The sequence below is a fragment of the Homo sapiens genome, chromosome 6 (genome assembly GCF_000001405.40).
Source record: "Homo sapiens chromosome 6, GRCh38.p14 Primary Assembly".
NCBI lineage: Eukaryota > Metazoa > Chordata > Mammalia > Primates > Hominidae > Homo > Homo sapiens.
In genome coordinates, this window is record NC_000006.12 from 8491796 (window position 1) to 8508068 (window position 16273).

At 36.9% G+C, this 16273-nt stretch overlaps 1 long non-coding RNA gene across 2 annotated transcripts in view, besides 1 other annotated feature; it reads left to right on the forward strand.

Annotated features, from left to right (window-relative positions):
- Positions 1–16273, forward strand: part of LOC100506207 (uncharacterized) — a 349823-nt gene that overhangs the window by 56173 nt on the left and 277377 nt on the right. The gene's annotated exons all lie outside the window — the stretch shown is intronic.
- Positions 408–577: an enhancer, noted in NCBI's record as "experimental_96186 CRE fragment used in MPRA reporter constructs". NCBI's record gives its function as "activates a minimal promoter by MPRAs in K562 erythroleukemia cells, with activity observed for both the introgressed and non-introgressed 6:8492521 variant alleles {active_cell/tissue: K562}" and the evidence as "EXISTENCE:reporter gene assay evidence [ECO:0000049][PMID:34662402]".

Sequence of the window (16273 nt, forward strand, 5' to 3'; positions counted from 1 at the left end):
AAACTTTAATAATAAATCAGTAGTTTGAAAGCACGATAAAAACAAAATCCCAATTCAATACCAAATATAACCTGGGCATTAACCTAACAAATACAAATAGATGTAGAATCTGTTCAGGAAACATTTTAAACTTCCCGGAATAATGTAATAGAAGACTTGAACAGACATGGAAGCTGTCTATGTTGTTCATAGGCAAGACCTAACATTAGAAAAATAATACTTTTTCCTAATTAGCCTATAAATCTAATATGTTTTAATCAAATTCTATTGCGATTTCTTTTAAAAACTTGACAGACTATTCTGGAATTCTTAGGAAGAACAAACAGATAAGAATAGTAAAGATAATTTTGATTAAAAAGGGTACTAAGGCACTCTTTGGCCTCCTAGAAATTAAACACGTGAGGGTTCTAATAATTAAAATAATAAGATAACAACACAGGAACAGACATATTTTTAATAGAAAGAGAAGTCCATAAGGAAACCTAATTATGATGAAAAGTTTATCTTAGGATAGAAATTGATTTTGTGTTTTATCACTGAAGAAAGGATACTTCTTTAAAATGGTATTGGAAAAAAAAAAGGAAAATATAATATTCCAACCCTATTTCAGATCTTATCCCAAAAGAAAATTCAGATGGATTACAATCTTAGTGTAAGAAATGAAACTATAAAATGACAAAAAGCAAGTATAAAGAAGCTTTTACATGATTTTGGGATGGAAGATTATTTTACTTTTGTTCTGCAGGTGCTAACCCAGTAGGTTTCAAATACATATGTTACCCCTTATATTTGAAAATGTGTGGGCAAGACAGGAAATGGGGGGGCAGATACTGTCACAGTGATGGGTGGTGGTGTTACTGATATTTAGTTAGTGGGTGCTGGGGATGCAAAAATCTTGCATGGCATGGGACATTCCCACATGGTAAGGAGCTGTCCAGCCCCAGATGCCAAAAACAACCACACTGAGAATCACATGTTGTGGAACATTAAGAATTATTTTAAAAGGTCATTATTAATCATGAAGTGGTCCAATAACTAATATTTCCTGTCTGAGGTTTTCTCCCTTTCTTCTTTTTTAATGGCAAAATGCCTATAAATGACTAAGACATCTGAATAATGGCTTTTCTGTCCTCTTCTACATACCAGCTGTAACAATTCGTCAAATGTAGGCAACTAGCTTTTAAAAATATAATGAAGAATGTATTGGTGGTGGTGTAAATTAGAGGCATTTGTAAAGAGAGAAGATCTCTGGACAAGCTCACATTCGCTATGCCTCATTTCCTCTCCTTTATTGTGTTGATAAAGGGAAATGGTGTTTATTGGGAGAGGACCAAAGAAGTTGTATTATTTCCAGTTTACACAATTACTGTAAAAGCTTCTCTCAGACAGTCTTACCTCAGGACATTCCGTGAGTCTCACTGTAGAGGATGTCATATGCCAATATTTCTTAGGGTTCTTCTGATTGAAATGCCTTTTAAAAAACTTGTTTGAATACCTCAAAATAGGCATGGCTATTAAAAAGAGAGAGTTGAGTTCTGATAGCTAACATATAAAAGTTTAGTGTATGATAAAAATATTTCATCAGAATTTTCAAAGGGAAAGGGACATTTTGGCTGCAACGAAGAAGGTCACTTCTCAGAAGCGATTCTCCGTTTTTCAGATCTCCCTGTTAACTCAGCAATGGTAACATTGATTTCATACCTTATTATCCAGTTATGTAAATAATCGGAAAGAACAGAATGCCTGACTAAAGTGGTTTAAATGAGTACAGGTTTATTTATTTATTTTTTCTCACATATCAAGAAGTCCAGAGGAAGACAGCTTAGGGCTGGTGCAGGAGCTCAACAGTCTAAAAACTGGGTTCTTTCTGTTTCCTCTGCCATTCTTAGGACATTGACTTTAATTCACATGCTGGTTACCTCACAGTTATAGGATGGTTGCTGCAGCTCCTGGTGGTGTAACATCATTCCAGGCAGGAAGAAGGTAAGTGGGGAGCAACCCCCTGGACCTGTGTGTGTGTTAGTGCCAACTATTGGAGGGTGAGGTCCGTTTCTTTCTGGAAGCAAGGAGAAGAGGGAGAAGGAAATGAAGGAAGAAGGGAGGAAGAAGAATGATAAGAAGCTAGCTAGGAAAGGTAGAAGCGGCAAGACCACTGTACTTCTTAACTTTGACGTGCATGCAGATCACTCGGTTTTGTTAAGATGAAGACTGTGATTCAGTAGGTCTGGAGTGTCTGCATGTCTAAGGAGGTCCTCCATGATGCTAATGCTGCTGGTCTGTGGTTTATGCTTTGAGCCTGATAAAGTCTCTTGAGAGTTGAGTTACTTCAATATAAAACAATTCTAGTTTGTTTTTTTTTAAGTCTCAATTGAATTTTTAATATGTTCAGTGGTGAAATCTGGATACTCTACTTTATTTAAAGTTCTCCCTCCCTGTCCTTGAGTGACCTTGTGGTTGGGCCTGCAGCTGGCTGTCTCATTCTTATGGGGCTTTTGTGCAGGACACTCTTCCATCCTCTGCGTCATGGGAAATTTCTGATTTGCAGTTCTTTCAGGTTGGCTTCTTTATTTCCCCACAAATTCACTTTTCTGCATAAAATCATCTTTTGATCTTGTGGCCACTGAGGTTGGCCTTCTTTTATCTGGGCATTTGGGTGAAACTGAGAGTCTATTTTGTTAGCAGTGTTAGCCTCCAGGTTCTTTCTACTGCATTTCTCCCTTCCAGGAGGATCTACTTAGGGAAGACCTAAGACATCCCAAGCCTTGCTCTGTTTCTTGAGTGGATCTTATTGGGTCCATAGGAGAAACCTCACACATTCTTTGCCCAGACACATTCTGTGACTCCAGGCTATTTCCAATGGAGGAATGTCTCTTTTGTCCACTATCAGGGTAGATAACATGTTATGGATTCTCACACTAGATTTCTCAGGCCTGTGTCAGACCCTCGCCCACTGTGCAGCCCAGTCTCCAAATGGCCCTACTAATTTTTCTTTTTTTTTTCTGGCTGAAGATAAGGAGTCAGCACACTTAACCCTCTCCCTTTGAGGCAGGGACATGCATAGCTCTCTTCAAGAAAACTCTCTCAGTTCAAATGTAACCACCTTCTTGAATGTTTTAGACTTCCGTATCTCGGTTTCCAACCACAACTTTGCAAGTTCTGCATAGAGGATCTGCTAATGGGTTTTGGAATGCCGCGGTGGTTGTCACATTGTAAATATACAGTTGTGCAAGCAGTGCATTGCAGAACTCTAGGGGTGCCATTCACCTCCAAGTCACTGCAGATTTGTACAGTGATGATTTTTTCTTAATTGCACTTTATGCAGTTAAGAAAAAGGAAAGGTTGCCTTTTTCATAATGCACAAAATCCCCTTTTGATCTGCTAGCAGCTAATTTTGGTGATAGCTGTGTCAGGGTCATCAGAGAAACTGAAAAGTCCCTCATTATTAGGAATGTTTTAAATTACTTTATAAAATGTTATGAGGACTTGTATATGTTTGATTCCTTATTATTATCCCTTGAATACCCAATGCAAGTTTTTCTTGTAAATTTTAAATCCTTCATTTGCTTCTTTGGGAGTTTTTAAATTTAATTTTTGAAAAGTAAATATGAAACAGAGGGATTCAAATTTTGGTTGTTCTTTGCATTCAGATATTCTGCAATCAGTAAGTTGAGTTCCTTTAGTTGATTTATATTTCTTATCAATATTTCAAAGCACTTGTTTCCACAAATTTTCTATTTAAAACAATTTCTTATTCTTGCATTATAACTTCAAAAACCTTGCTTTTGGCTTTGTTTTTTGGCTCTTACATCACTTACAAATTTTTAAAATTGATTACCTTGTTTTAAAGGTTGATGACTGCCTGTCCAACTCCATTCCCATCTGGCCTAGAATGTTTAAATTGGCTGTCAGCCTTTTTTTATTTTGCTATTTTATTTATTTATTTATTTATTTTTAAATTTGCTTTAAGTTCTGGGATACATGTGCAGAACACGCAGGTTTGCTATGTGTGCCATGGTGCTTTGCAGCACCTATCCACCTATCATCTAGGTTTTAAGACCCGCCTGCATTAGCTATTTATCTTCATGTTCTCCCTCCCCTCTTCCCCCACCCCCTAACTGGATGCAGTGTGTGTTGTTCCCCTCCCTGTGTCCATGTGTTCTCATTGTTCAACTCCCACTTATGAATGAGAACATGGCGGTGTTTGGTTTTCTGTTTCTGTGTTAGTTTGCTGAGAATGATGGCTTTCAGATTCATCCATGTCCCACAAAGGGCATGATCTCATTTCTTTCTATGGCTGCATAGTAGTCCATGGTGTATATGTACCATTTTCTTTATCCAGTCTATCATTGATGGGCATTTGGGTTTGTTCCGTGTCTTTGCTATTGTAAATAGTGCTGCCATAAACATATGTGTACATGTGTCTTTATAGTAGAATGATTTATATTCCTTTGGGTATATACCCAGTAATGAGATTGCTGGGTCAAATGGTATTTCTGGTTCTAGATCCTTCAGGAATCACCACACTGTCTTCCACAATGGTTGAACTAATTTACATTTTACACCAACAGGGTAAAAGCATTCCTATTTCTCTATAGCCTCGCCAGCTATTGTTTCCTGACTTTTTCACAATCGCTATGCTGACTGGTGTGAGATGGTATCTCATTGTGGTTTTGATTTGCATTTCCCTAATGATCAGTGATGTTGAGCTTTTTTTCATATTTTTTTGGCCACATAAATGTCTTCTTTTGAGAAGTGTCTGTTCATATCCTTTGCCCACTTTTTGATGGGGTTCTTTGTTTAAGTTCCTTGTAGATTTTGGATATTAGACCTTTGTCAGATGGGTAAATTGCAAAATTTTTCTCCCATTCTGTAGGTTGCCTGTTCATTGTGATGATAATTTCTTTTGCTGTGCAGAAGCTCTTTAGTTTAATTAGATCCCATTTGTCAATTTTGGCTTTTGTTGCAACTGCTGTCGGTGTTTTTGTCATGAAATTCTTGCCCATGCCTATTTCCTGAATGGTATTGCCTAGGTTTTCTCCTAGGGTTTTTATGGTTTTGAGTTTTACATTTAAATCTTTAATCCATCTTGAGTTAATTATTGTATAAGGTGTAAGGAAGGGGTCCAGTTTCAGTTCTCTGCATATGAGTAACCAGTTTTCCCAGCACCATTATTAAGTAGGAAATCTTTTTCCCATTCCTTGTTTTTGTCAGGTTTGTCAAAGATCAGATGGCTGTAGATGTGTGGTGTTATTTCCGAAGTTTCTCTTCTGTTCAATTGATCTATATGTCTGTTTTGGCACCAGTACCATGCTGTTTTGGTTACTGTGGCCTTATAGTATAGTTTGAAGTTAGGTAGCATGATGCCTCCAGCTTTGTTCTTTTTGCTTAGGATTGTTTTGGCTATATGGGCTGTTTTTTGGTTTCATATGAAATTTAAAGTAGTTTTTTCTAATTCTGCGAAGAATATCAATGGTAGTTTGATGGGAATAGCATTGCATCTATAAATTACTTTGGGCAGTATAGCCATTTTCATGATATGGATTCTTCCTATCCATGAGGACAAAATGTTTTTCCATTTTTTTATGTCCTCTCTTATTTATTTGAGCATAGTGGTTTGTAGTTCTCCTTGAAGAGATCCTTCACATCCCATGTTAGCTGTATTCCTAGGTATTTTATTCTCTTTGTATCAATTGTGAATGGGAGTTCATTCATGATTTGGCTCTCTGCTCTGTCAACATGCTTTGACTAGTTAGAGGCATCATGCTACCTAACTTCAGACTATACTACAAGGCTACAGTAATCAAAACAGCATGGTACTGGTGCCAAAACAGACATATAGATCAATCGAACAGAAGAGAAACTTTGGAAATAACACCACACATCTACAACCATCTGATCTTTGACAAACCTGACAAAAACAAGGAATGGGGAAAGGATTTCCTATTTAATAATGGTGCTGGGAAAACTGGCTACCCATATGCAGAGAACTGAAACTGGACCCCTTCCTTACACCTTATACAAAAATTAACTCTACACCAATTATTGGTGTATAGGAATGCTTGTGATTTTTGCACATTGATTTTGTATCCTGAGACTTTGCTGAAGTTGCTTATCAGCTTAAGGAGATTTTGGGCTAAGACATGGGGTTTTCTAAATATAGAAATATGTCATCTTCAAACAGAGACAATTTGAATTCTGCTCTTCCTATTTGAATATGCTTTATTTTTTTCTCTTGCCTGATTGCCCTGGCCAGAACTTCCAATACTATGTTGAATAGGAGTGGTGAGAGAGGGCATCCTTGTCTTGTACTGGTTGTCAAAAGGAATGCTTTCCAGCTTTTGCTCATTCAATATGATATTGGTTGTGGGGTTGTCATAAACAGCTTCTATTACTTTGCAATATGTTCCATCAATACCTAGTTTATCGAGAGTTTTTAACATAAAGGAATGTCAAATTTTATTGAAAGCCTTTTCTGCATCTATTGAGATAATCATGTGGTTTTTGTCATTGGTTCTGTTTATGTGATGGGTTATGTTTATAGATTTGTGTATGTTGAACCAGCCTTGCATCCCAGAGATGAAGCCAACTTGATCGTGGTGGATAAGCTTTTTGATGTGCTGCTGGATTCAGTTTGCCAGTATTTTGTTGAAGATTTTTGCATTGATGCTCATCAGGGATATTGGCCTGAAGTTTTCTTTTTTTGTTGTGTCTCTGCCAGGTTTTTGTATCAGGATGATGCTGGCCTCATAAAATGAGGCTTTTTTGCCCTCTCTTCACCTTTTGCCATCACAGGGTGGAAAACTCCCTGGGATCATGCTTACACCACCATTTTTGGAGTATGGGACCCATGAAGGAGCATATACCTCTATTGCATGTGCACATGTTTCTCCTATCATAAATATTCATCCACCTCCTATAGCTCACTAAATACGTATATTTGGCCGCCCCATTCAGGATAAATTCTTGTCCCCATTTCCCCTCCCTCAAAGTGTCTTTTCTGGCTTCTGGCCAGACGCTGTGCTTCCCAACCCATCAGACAGCCTGGCCACCCTGCAGGCTGCAACTCTTTATGAGAAATAAAGCTCTCCTTTCCAAATTAATATTATATATATATAATAATCTCCTTTCCAAATTAAATATATATATATTTCCAGTCTTTATCCTTTTGAGTGAAATATGGAATGAGATTTGTCTATAGGTTCGTCTATATGCATACAGATTTATAATTGTATAAATTAGGCAAAGAACATTTTATGAAAGCCTTTTTATAAGAGTTTATTTTTTCTTGAAATTTTCTGTAACAGATTTTTTTTCCAGTCATTTGCGGGGGACGGGGTCTATATTAGAACCTACAGGGAGATTTAAATTATTTAAATTATCCCAATTAAGGGGGATATTTTTGAGTCTCTTGATCTGATGATTTAATCTTGTCATTGCCCTTCATAACACTTGCAAAGCTTAGCAAGATCACGAAGAGAAATTGCATTTTATTCTAGAATCTGTGGTAGAAATCTCTGGAGTTTATCTTTGTAATTTCTCATTTTTTTCCCTGTAAGAACCACCAATGCTCATTCCACTATCTATGAATAATTTTAGTTGACAATCAAAATATATTAACCCCCAGTGACCCGAAAGCAATGAAATCCACCATTTCCTATTCTGAAGACTGTTCGGCAAACACAGATTTAAATCTCTTTACACTTCAAAATTTTTTACCAATGAAAAGCTCAATGAAATTGCCTACAAATAATTTCTGGATAGTTTAACTTATGCTTTCTGAATTACATTGCATTTTATCCTGCTGATAGAAACTATAGTAAATTTTCATTGTTTAAGACCTGATTTTAGAGCTGCTCATGAAGACAATTCCATTCAGATTCAGTAATAAAAATCAAACTTCCCTCCACTTTTGGCCAGAAGAGGGAAGCAGTTGACTGCATCTGAGGCATCTGTGCATGGATTCCAGCAAACTTTTGTACTTCAAATTAATTACCACTCAATAATGTAATAGTTAAAATAATGCACAGCTCTCAAATGTCACTTTGTAAAATTAAAGGAAATGTATAAGGTATGTATTTTCTTTTCGTTCATTTATGTCTTGAAATTACTTAGCTTCTTAGACTGTGTGTTTGTGAAATTTAACAAACACTGCTAACTGATAGTCAATCTCTGCTTTAAGTCAGACCTTTACCATTGGATTAGAAAATCAATAACCAAACACCCAGAAGACCTGCCTTATTGGTCTAAACTTTTGCCTCTGACATGAGAAAGTTATTTCCTAATCGTTCCACACAGTTAAATGCAAGCTCCTGGCAACATGGGATAATATATGTTTACCTCTACAATTGCTTATATTAATATTAGGCTGTTATTTTAATTTTAATTTTTTCTTACTTAGGATGTGATCACTCACTTAAATTGCTCTTTTATTGTCTTGTTCTTGCCTTATCTCTGATATATTTGGTAAAGTACCAGATGAACTTCAGGCTCATCTAAAATGTTTCCCTGAATTAGTTTGTGCTCCAAAGGCCATGTGGAGTACAGCATTGAGGAAAAGTTTTCTGGATAATTCAATTAAAACAAAAAACAAAAAGCAAATGAAGCCCCTATCATTGAGTAAACATAAGAATTTAAATATTTCTGTTGGTAATTGTACACATTTCCTTTTTCGTTTTGAGTTGATACTAGTTCTGTTTATATAACCAGACACTGTATGATAACTGAATGGCAAGAACTCAGTCCACTTGCCACCAAGGTACATTGTATTCATCTAGGCCTCACAGAAATAGGGTTACCAGATGACCCGTATGAATTTGTCACTCACTGTTCTGTTACAGACCTTGTTTTAGTAAAGTGATGTGGGTATTCATTTTCTTCACTGTATTTTTTTATTCCTGCATATATTTAGTTTTTAATTTTTTTTCTTCATTTCACCCTGATTAAATTCTCATATTAGGAGCACTTTAGTAAAGGGCCTAAAATAAAAACATATACCCAAAGAAGTCTCAGAATGTCATTAGTGGCCGGGCGTGGTGGCTCATGCCTGTAATGCCAGCACTTTGGGAGGCTGAGGCAGGTGGATCACCTGAGGTCAGGAGTTTGACACCAGCCTGGGCAACATGGTGAAACCCTATCTCTTCTAAAAATACAAAAATTAACTGGTGTGGTGGCAGGCGCCTGTAGTCCCAGCTACTTGGGAGGCTGAGACAGGAGAATCACCTGAACCTGAGAGGCAGAAGTTGCAGTGAACCAAGATCATGCCACTGCACTCCAGCCTGGGTGATAAAGTGAGACTCCATCCCTCCCCCAAAAAAATAAATAAAAAAAAAGCTCAAAATCTATACTCTATTTAAGTGAATAAACAATTTGTGGCAGATTAAAGATGGCAACAAGTTTTTTGAGATTCCTCCCAACAAGAGATGGGGTTTTGTCTTTTTTTCCCTTGAATCTAGGTAGGTTCTATTATTTTTTTGACCCACAGGATATAGTGGAAGTCAGGCTGTGTTGGTATCCTGACCAAGGCTTTAGGATACTGGAAGCTTTTGCTTTCTGTCTCTTGAAACACTTGACCTTGAATTCCACCTGCCATGCTGTTTGGAAGCCCAAGCTGCACTGTGGAGCAACCCATGTGAAAAGGAATGGAGGCTCTGGCTGAACTTCTCGTTGACAGACAACACCAAATTGCCAGCCATGTGAGCCAGCCACCTTGGAAGTATCATCTCCAGCCCCAGTCTAGCTGCTGTCATTGTATGGGGGAGAACTAAGTTTTCCTTGTTAAGCCCTTTTCAAATTGCTGATTTGTGAGCCAAATAAATGATTGTTTTTGCTTTAAGCCAAAAAGTTTTGGGACAGTTTGATTTACAGAAATACTTACCTGAACAATTGTTCTTCAACAAAAATAATCATCTCCCAAAGAAGCTTGTTCATAATAAGTGATGTAAAGCTGACAGTTTGGTCTTCAAAAGCCTCTCATACTGTTAGGAGGGAAATGAAGCAATCAATATAGGCTTGTAATCAGCATTAGGGAAAGTAGAAAACTACTGATAAGTTTTAAGCCTTCTATTCTACAACACCACTTCAGAATTGAGTGCTAATTGCTTCATTGCTGCTGAACGGTATTAGTAGATTTAGAATTTGTACAATATACCAAGCATGTAATTGTCTCATGACACCATTTGTGCACTGAACAGCAACGCTTAATGTGGACAATAGACTTGGAATGGATTTTAGAAATGCTAATTAACAAAAAAGTTCTTATTGTATAATAATGTTTCAAGTGTGTTCCCAACAACTTCAATTAGCATAGAACAACTAAAGCAAAGAGCAGGGGAAGTTAAATAATACTCTGTTCTGTTCCTTTCTGTATCACGGACCTGCAGACCAAAACTAGAAGACATGGTCATCTTTTTTATTGTTTTGGAAGGTAAATTCTCATTTTCACACGATTTATTTTTATAAAACAACTCTTTTTAGGGAACAAAATATTCATTTCTAGTTGGAGCAGTATTTCTGAAACTTTAGCAGGTATCAGAATCATCTGGAGAGCTTGTTAAAACATTGATTTAAAAGACCCAATCACAGAGCTTCTGATTTGTTAGATCTGGGGTAGGAGCCAAGAATTTACATTTGTAACAGGTTCCCAGGCAATGTTGATGTTGGTCTGGAGAACACACATTGAGAACCACTGGATTAGAAAAAATAATGTATAATGAATGATTCGTAAGTCCCAGCTACCTAGAAGTGAAAACTTAGCTGTTACTATTACCTAAGGTATCGAGTTTAGAATTATTAATAAACAGTAAACATTCCTTGAATGCCTACTATGAACTAGACACTGTGGTAGGTTTGAGGAGCTTATACCCTGGTTGAGGAGAAATATGGGGTCATATGGGGACAAATAGGAGGAAAATCACCTACTCTTAGGGTTTATGGAGAACTTGTTGTAGGAGATGACTCCTGAGTTAAGTTTTGATATGAGCAAGTGTTGCCTAGGTCAGTAGAAGCTGAATGATTCTTACAGACAAAGAGAATAACCCAAGAAACTAATAAAAGGTTGAAACAGCAGTTTTTATTACAAGAATGAAAGCATGAGGTATAGAAAAGTAGGCAATGATGTAGTTTTGCTCTCAAGAAAGTAAATTTGAAGATAGAAGAGAATAATATAGTTTTGTTTTTAACAAATATTTGTGTGTTACCCAGTATATGGAAGTGGTTTTATTGTGTGTGTTGTTTGTTGTTAAAAAGTGGCTTGGTTTGCATTTTGTTGAGATTTTAAACATTTTCTCATGGTAATTGATTAGAAAAAGGCAAAAATGGGGATAAAATTTGTCAAGACTATTCATTTTAGTGATTTTAAATAATCTGTTCTCTTAATGAATCACAACTATGCTCAATATATTGTCATTTCTAAATTTTGAATTGATTTTGTTTGGTGAGAATTATTTTACCTCAGCTAATGTGAAACTGCATATGTAGCTTAAAACAGAAATGGCACTTTAAAATAAATTTTCAGTGTCAAGTAATGTCAAATCATATTAGTCAGCTTGAGTATGTTAGAAACTAATTCTTTTTTGTTGAATTTCGAACTGCTTCATGGGCAATAGAGGGACTGCACGTCACAGTTACCACCCTCCCCAAAATATAATGTTCACTTCAGAAGAAACACTTCCTTCTTCCTCAGACAGGAAAAAAGGGTGGATAAATTAACAGGAACTAAAAGCAGAGGCACAGCTACTATATCAACAAGTAATACAAAAATGCGTGAAACAGAAAAATGCTCATGGCACCTGAAGTTAACATTAGTCTCTTTTCTATGTATCAAGCTGACATATTAGAAAATAAAAAATTATGTATATTTGATTTTCATGTATATATGAAGCGCATATCTTGAATAACAAAGGCATCTCAATTTTGAAGCAAGCAATTTTTTAGGCAAATCCAAAAGCAAGAAAATGATAAAATAGGTCTGTATTTCAAATAGAATATAAAGACATAGTGAACAAGAAGAAAATGAAGCAAAAGGAGTTCAGTATGATGAAAGAAAGTCTATTGCTTTAGTAGCTCACCAAGTCAAAATCCTCAGGAAATGCACAATCTTTGTTGTGTTAATATGACTTCAAATGGAGCTGTTTAAATCGTTTACTAAGATTTAATAGCTAAACATGGGCACAGTAACAGTATCTTTTATAACCTTTTTGGGTCAAAGAATATTCACACATTTATTTGTGGGTAGAATATGCTTAACTCTTAACAATATAATGGTGCTGTTTGACATCGCAAGAAGGGTAAATAGTAACACCGCAAAATTATGACAACTATTTTTAAAATGTAATTAATTTAATTAGAGCACCAGAAACAAAAAAATTCTGGAAAAGGAGCAGCAGGAGAGAATTTCACTAACATCTTTCACAAATCTCGACTCTAATTCAGTGTTTAAATAATCCTTTTGTCAAAATAGTGAACTGGCTTTCTGCAAAGGACGTCTTTCTGCAAAGGGCATCTTTGAACTGGTTTTTACTTGTGGAGCTGTTTTGTGTACTGAAGAGTATCCACTTGTCAAGCTGCCATTCTGAAACCCAGATGAGTAGCTGAGAAGCTCATTTTGCTTGCCCTCGGGACAGCTAAGCTTTACATTTTTGATGACAATGGAATGCAGTAGTTTATGTCAGGTGTGTGTGTGTGTGTGTGTGTGTGTGTGTGTGCGTGCATGTGCGCACCTGCATGTTATTCAGCTTCTGTTTGAGGTTCACCCTACTTAATTACAAAGTAAGCGTGAAGCAGGGAACACCCTTTGCAACTACCCTTCACTTTTCATCTTAGAATCGTGCACTCTGCAAAAATCTGATTTTCTCCCCATTTTAGTTTTAAAAACAGTTTATATAAAAACTGAAAAGCAACAAAACAGAAATTTCAGAAATGTACACTAAGGTGCTTTGCTTGCTTTAAAGATGGAAACACTGTGTTTCTTATTTCTATTGCATTTTAGAATTTAGAAAACCAGAAAGAATCCAGAAGGTCTTCTATGGCCATTTTATTAAACAGCCATAGGTCCTGAGAAACTGATTCTATGTTTCTGTAAGTTTACTCAGAATTCCAGTGACACCAGCTTTACTTCTATAAAAAGATATTATTGATGATTAAACTTAAAATACTTTTGAGATTATTATAATTAGAAATTAAACAGATATTATTGAATAAAGCAATAATTTCTTAAGCTACAGTATTAAGTAACGTATTTTATAATATCTACATAGCTAACAAAATATCTGTATCATAAACCTTGGGTATATATAACTCAGGTGGTTTGTTTCTGGGAATACGATCATAATAGGGAGAAAACTCAGTGACATAACAGTGACAAAATAGCTTCAACCCTACCTTTAGTTGTATAATTTTGCTGAAGTTTCTGCATATATATAGCAAAGGAATTGAACTACATCTGTAAAACTCAATTTCTAAAAATTCCATGGTTAAATAAGTAAACAGATCCATAGGAGGGAAAACTCTACAAAAATTCAGGAAATGTGATTATCTCTCTCCCTTCCTTCCTTCTTTTCCTTAGTTGTTTAGCTTATGAATCCTGCCTTTAATGAAAGTGAAAAAATAATATTAATATAGCACATGAGAAAGTTATGTTAAAAGCTTAAAAGAAGAGATGGAGAATGGTAAAGATGCAATTCAAAGAAGTGATAAATGTCTGGGATTAGGAAATGATGTTCTGGTAGAGCTATTTGTTATATCAACAACAAGACTGAGATAGGAAGCTCTGAGCTGAAGGATGTATGTAACGAGTGTCAGGGAGGCCCTGGAAAAAAAGCTCAAGTCAATGGCATTAGCTGAGCAATGGAGATTGAAAATTAGGTTTACATATTTCGATGCACCCAGATCACAGCCATGCCAATGGGTACTGCATTTCAGGGACTCTTCCTTTGCTGACAGTTCAGTTTTTCTAGAACACCAGTCTCACCAGGTAGACTTCCAAGAAGATAATTAATTTTCTGCTCATGCAGCAAAATGTGTAAGGGGAAAAAAGCAAACATTCCTGGCCATATAGAAACAAATAAGGCAGATGGGAAAGGCAATGTAGTATGGCAAAAAATTCACAGACCCGACATTGACTCTTACAAGATATTTTACATAGGGCAAGTTTTTTTATTTTTAATCCTTTTGATTGTCAGTTTCCTCATGCATAAGATGGAGTTTATACCAGTCCTCACATAGCAGTGATGTGAGGATTAAATGAAGCAAGACTTGTAAAGCGTCTCACATACTGCCTGGAAATAATGGGTGCTCTCCCTTCAGTTTTTCCTTTTCTCACTTTTTATACTTTTCCTTTTTCTTGCTCCTGATGTTTTCCCCACTCTCTCACCAAGTGAGAAACAGAAGTTTCCAAGTAAAAGATCCTCTTAACATCCAAATGGCCTGCTGGGTGGCTCCTCAAGGTCTTAGAGTCTTAGAGGGGGATGGTTCTTCCTAAGAATCCCTCAGAACACAGTTTCCAGTATCTTGGACTCCTGAGCTGCTCTCCAGGGTGCTGCTGGGCATTTTGAAGATTCTCTCCTCAATGGGGAGTTGCTTTTATCTTCCTAGGGGCTCTAAAGTGCTTCCTGGAATTCGAGCTTCTGTAGAGATATTTATTGGCAGTGACAGACAGAGCTCTTTATCTTTTCAAAGAGCAGCTCTACCAAGAAGGAATTGTTTGGCCATGTCTAGGAGTACAGGGGCAAATCTGGACATGATTTTACTGCTTGAACTGCAAAGCTATTTGGGTTAACACTGAAATTAATTTTTTTCTGAGCTATATTGTAGGATAGCTTTATATATAAAGTTTACTTTGAAACCTTCCAATGGCACCTCTTGGTTTAATCAAGATTGACATTTTTAGTAATCCCAGTAAAGACTCTATCTAGGGTATTGCCTTAAAGTGTGTCTCAAAAATACCTGAGAAGTAGGACTCTATTTGGATCTAGCCATCGTGCCTGTTCGATTGTTCTTGCCTGGTAGTCAGGGGAACACAGGACATTTTCACACCATTTTCAAATTAGTTCCGTTTATGAGGGGTGATACTCATCATGTACTTGTAGACTAATGGGTGCAAAATACAGATTCTACCCTCAAAAAGTGCAACCTTGAGATAGGGTGATGTTTCAGATCCATCAGTGCGAAATTTAGGAAGTAGAACTGGTATGGTTTGGCTCTGTGTTCCCACCAAAATCTCATGTTGAATTGTAATCCCCAATACTGGGGAAGGGACCTGGTAGGAGGTGATTGGATCACAGGGGCAGATTCCCCCCTTGCTGTTCTCATGATAGTGAGTGAGTTCTCACCAAATCTGATGGTTTAAAAGTGTGTGACACTTCTCCCTTCGTTCGCTGTCTTTCTCCTGCCGCCATGTGAAGGCATGCTTGCTTCCCCTTTCCTTTCTGCCATGATTGTAAGTTTCCTGAGGCCTCCCAGCCATGCTTCCTGTACAGTGTGTGGAACTGTGAGTCAAGTAAACCTCTTGTCTTTATAAATTACCCAGTCTCAGGTAGTTCTTTGTAGCAGTGTGAGAATGGATGAATACAGAAAGAACTAAAGGGTTATTATCGACAAGCGAGCAATTTTAATGTTTTGCCTTGCGAAAATGTAGTAGTTCAGGTAAAACAAAACAAAAGATGAAAAAGTTCAAGAGTATAGTTTGGTGCAAAAGTAATTGCGGTTTTTGCCATTGAAAGTAATGAAAATAGAAAATGTCCCTGATAAAGTTTACCAAATAGTAATAAATATACTTTCCACAACATACTCTCACAATTTTATTGAAACAGTTTCTGGCACTCTGGGTAGTTTTCCAGACTCTGATCATGAGCACAGTAGTTATCACTGGCAGACGTGGGAGGAACAGGCAGCTTGGCCCCGTCTCTGGGGAACGTTGAGAGATTAATACAATGGGCAGCTCAAAATCCAGAGCTGGCTGAAGCCTTCAGCACTCTTGGCCTGAGTTTGTCACTTTAGAGTGGGCACCACGTAACTGACTGACTTCCCAAGAATTCGGGGTGGCAGATCATGCCACCTGGTTCAGTACTGCTCCATCTTACCTGCAGAGCTTGGAACAATCCTTTTGTTCTAGTAGATAAGTGAAGAAGAGCCAAACTCTTAATGAAATATACTTCCCTTGAACGTGTATCTCATAGGCTGTTTGACTGTTATGAAAAATGTCATCTATAGAAAAGAATGGTATACATGTTGCTAAGACACATTAGATGTTATTGCCGGAGTCAATATTTCAGAATTC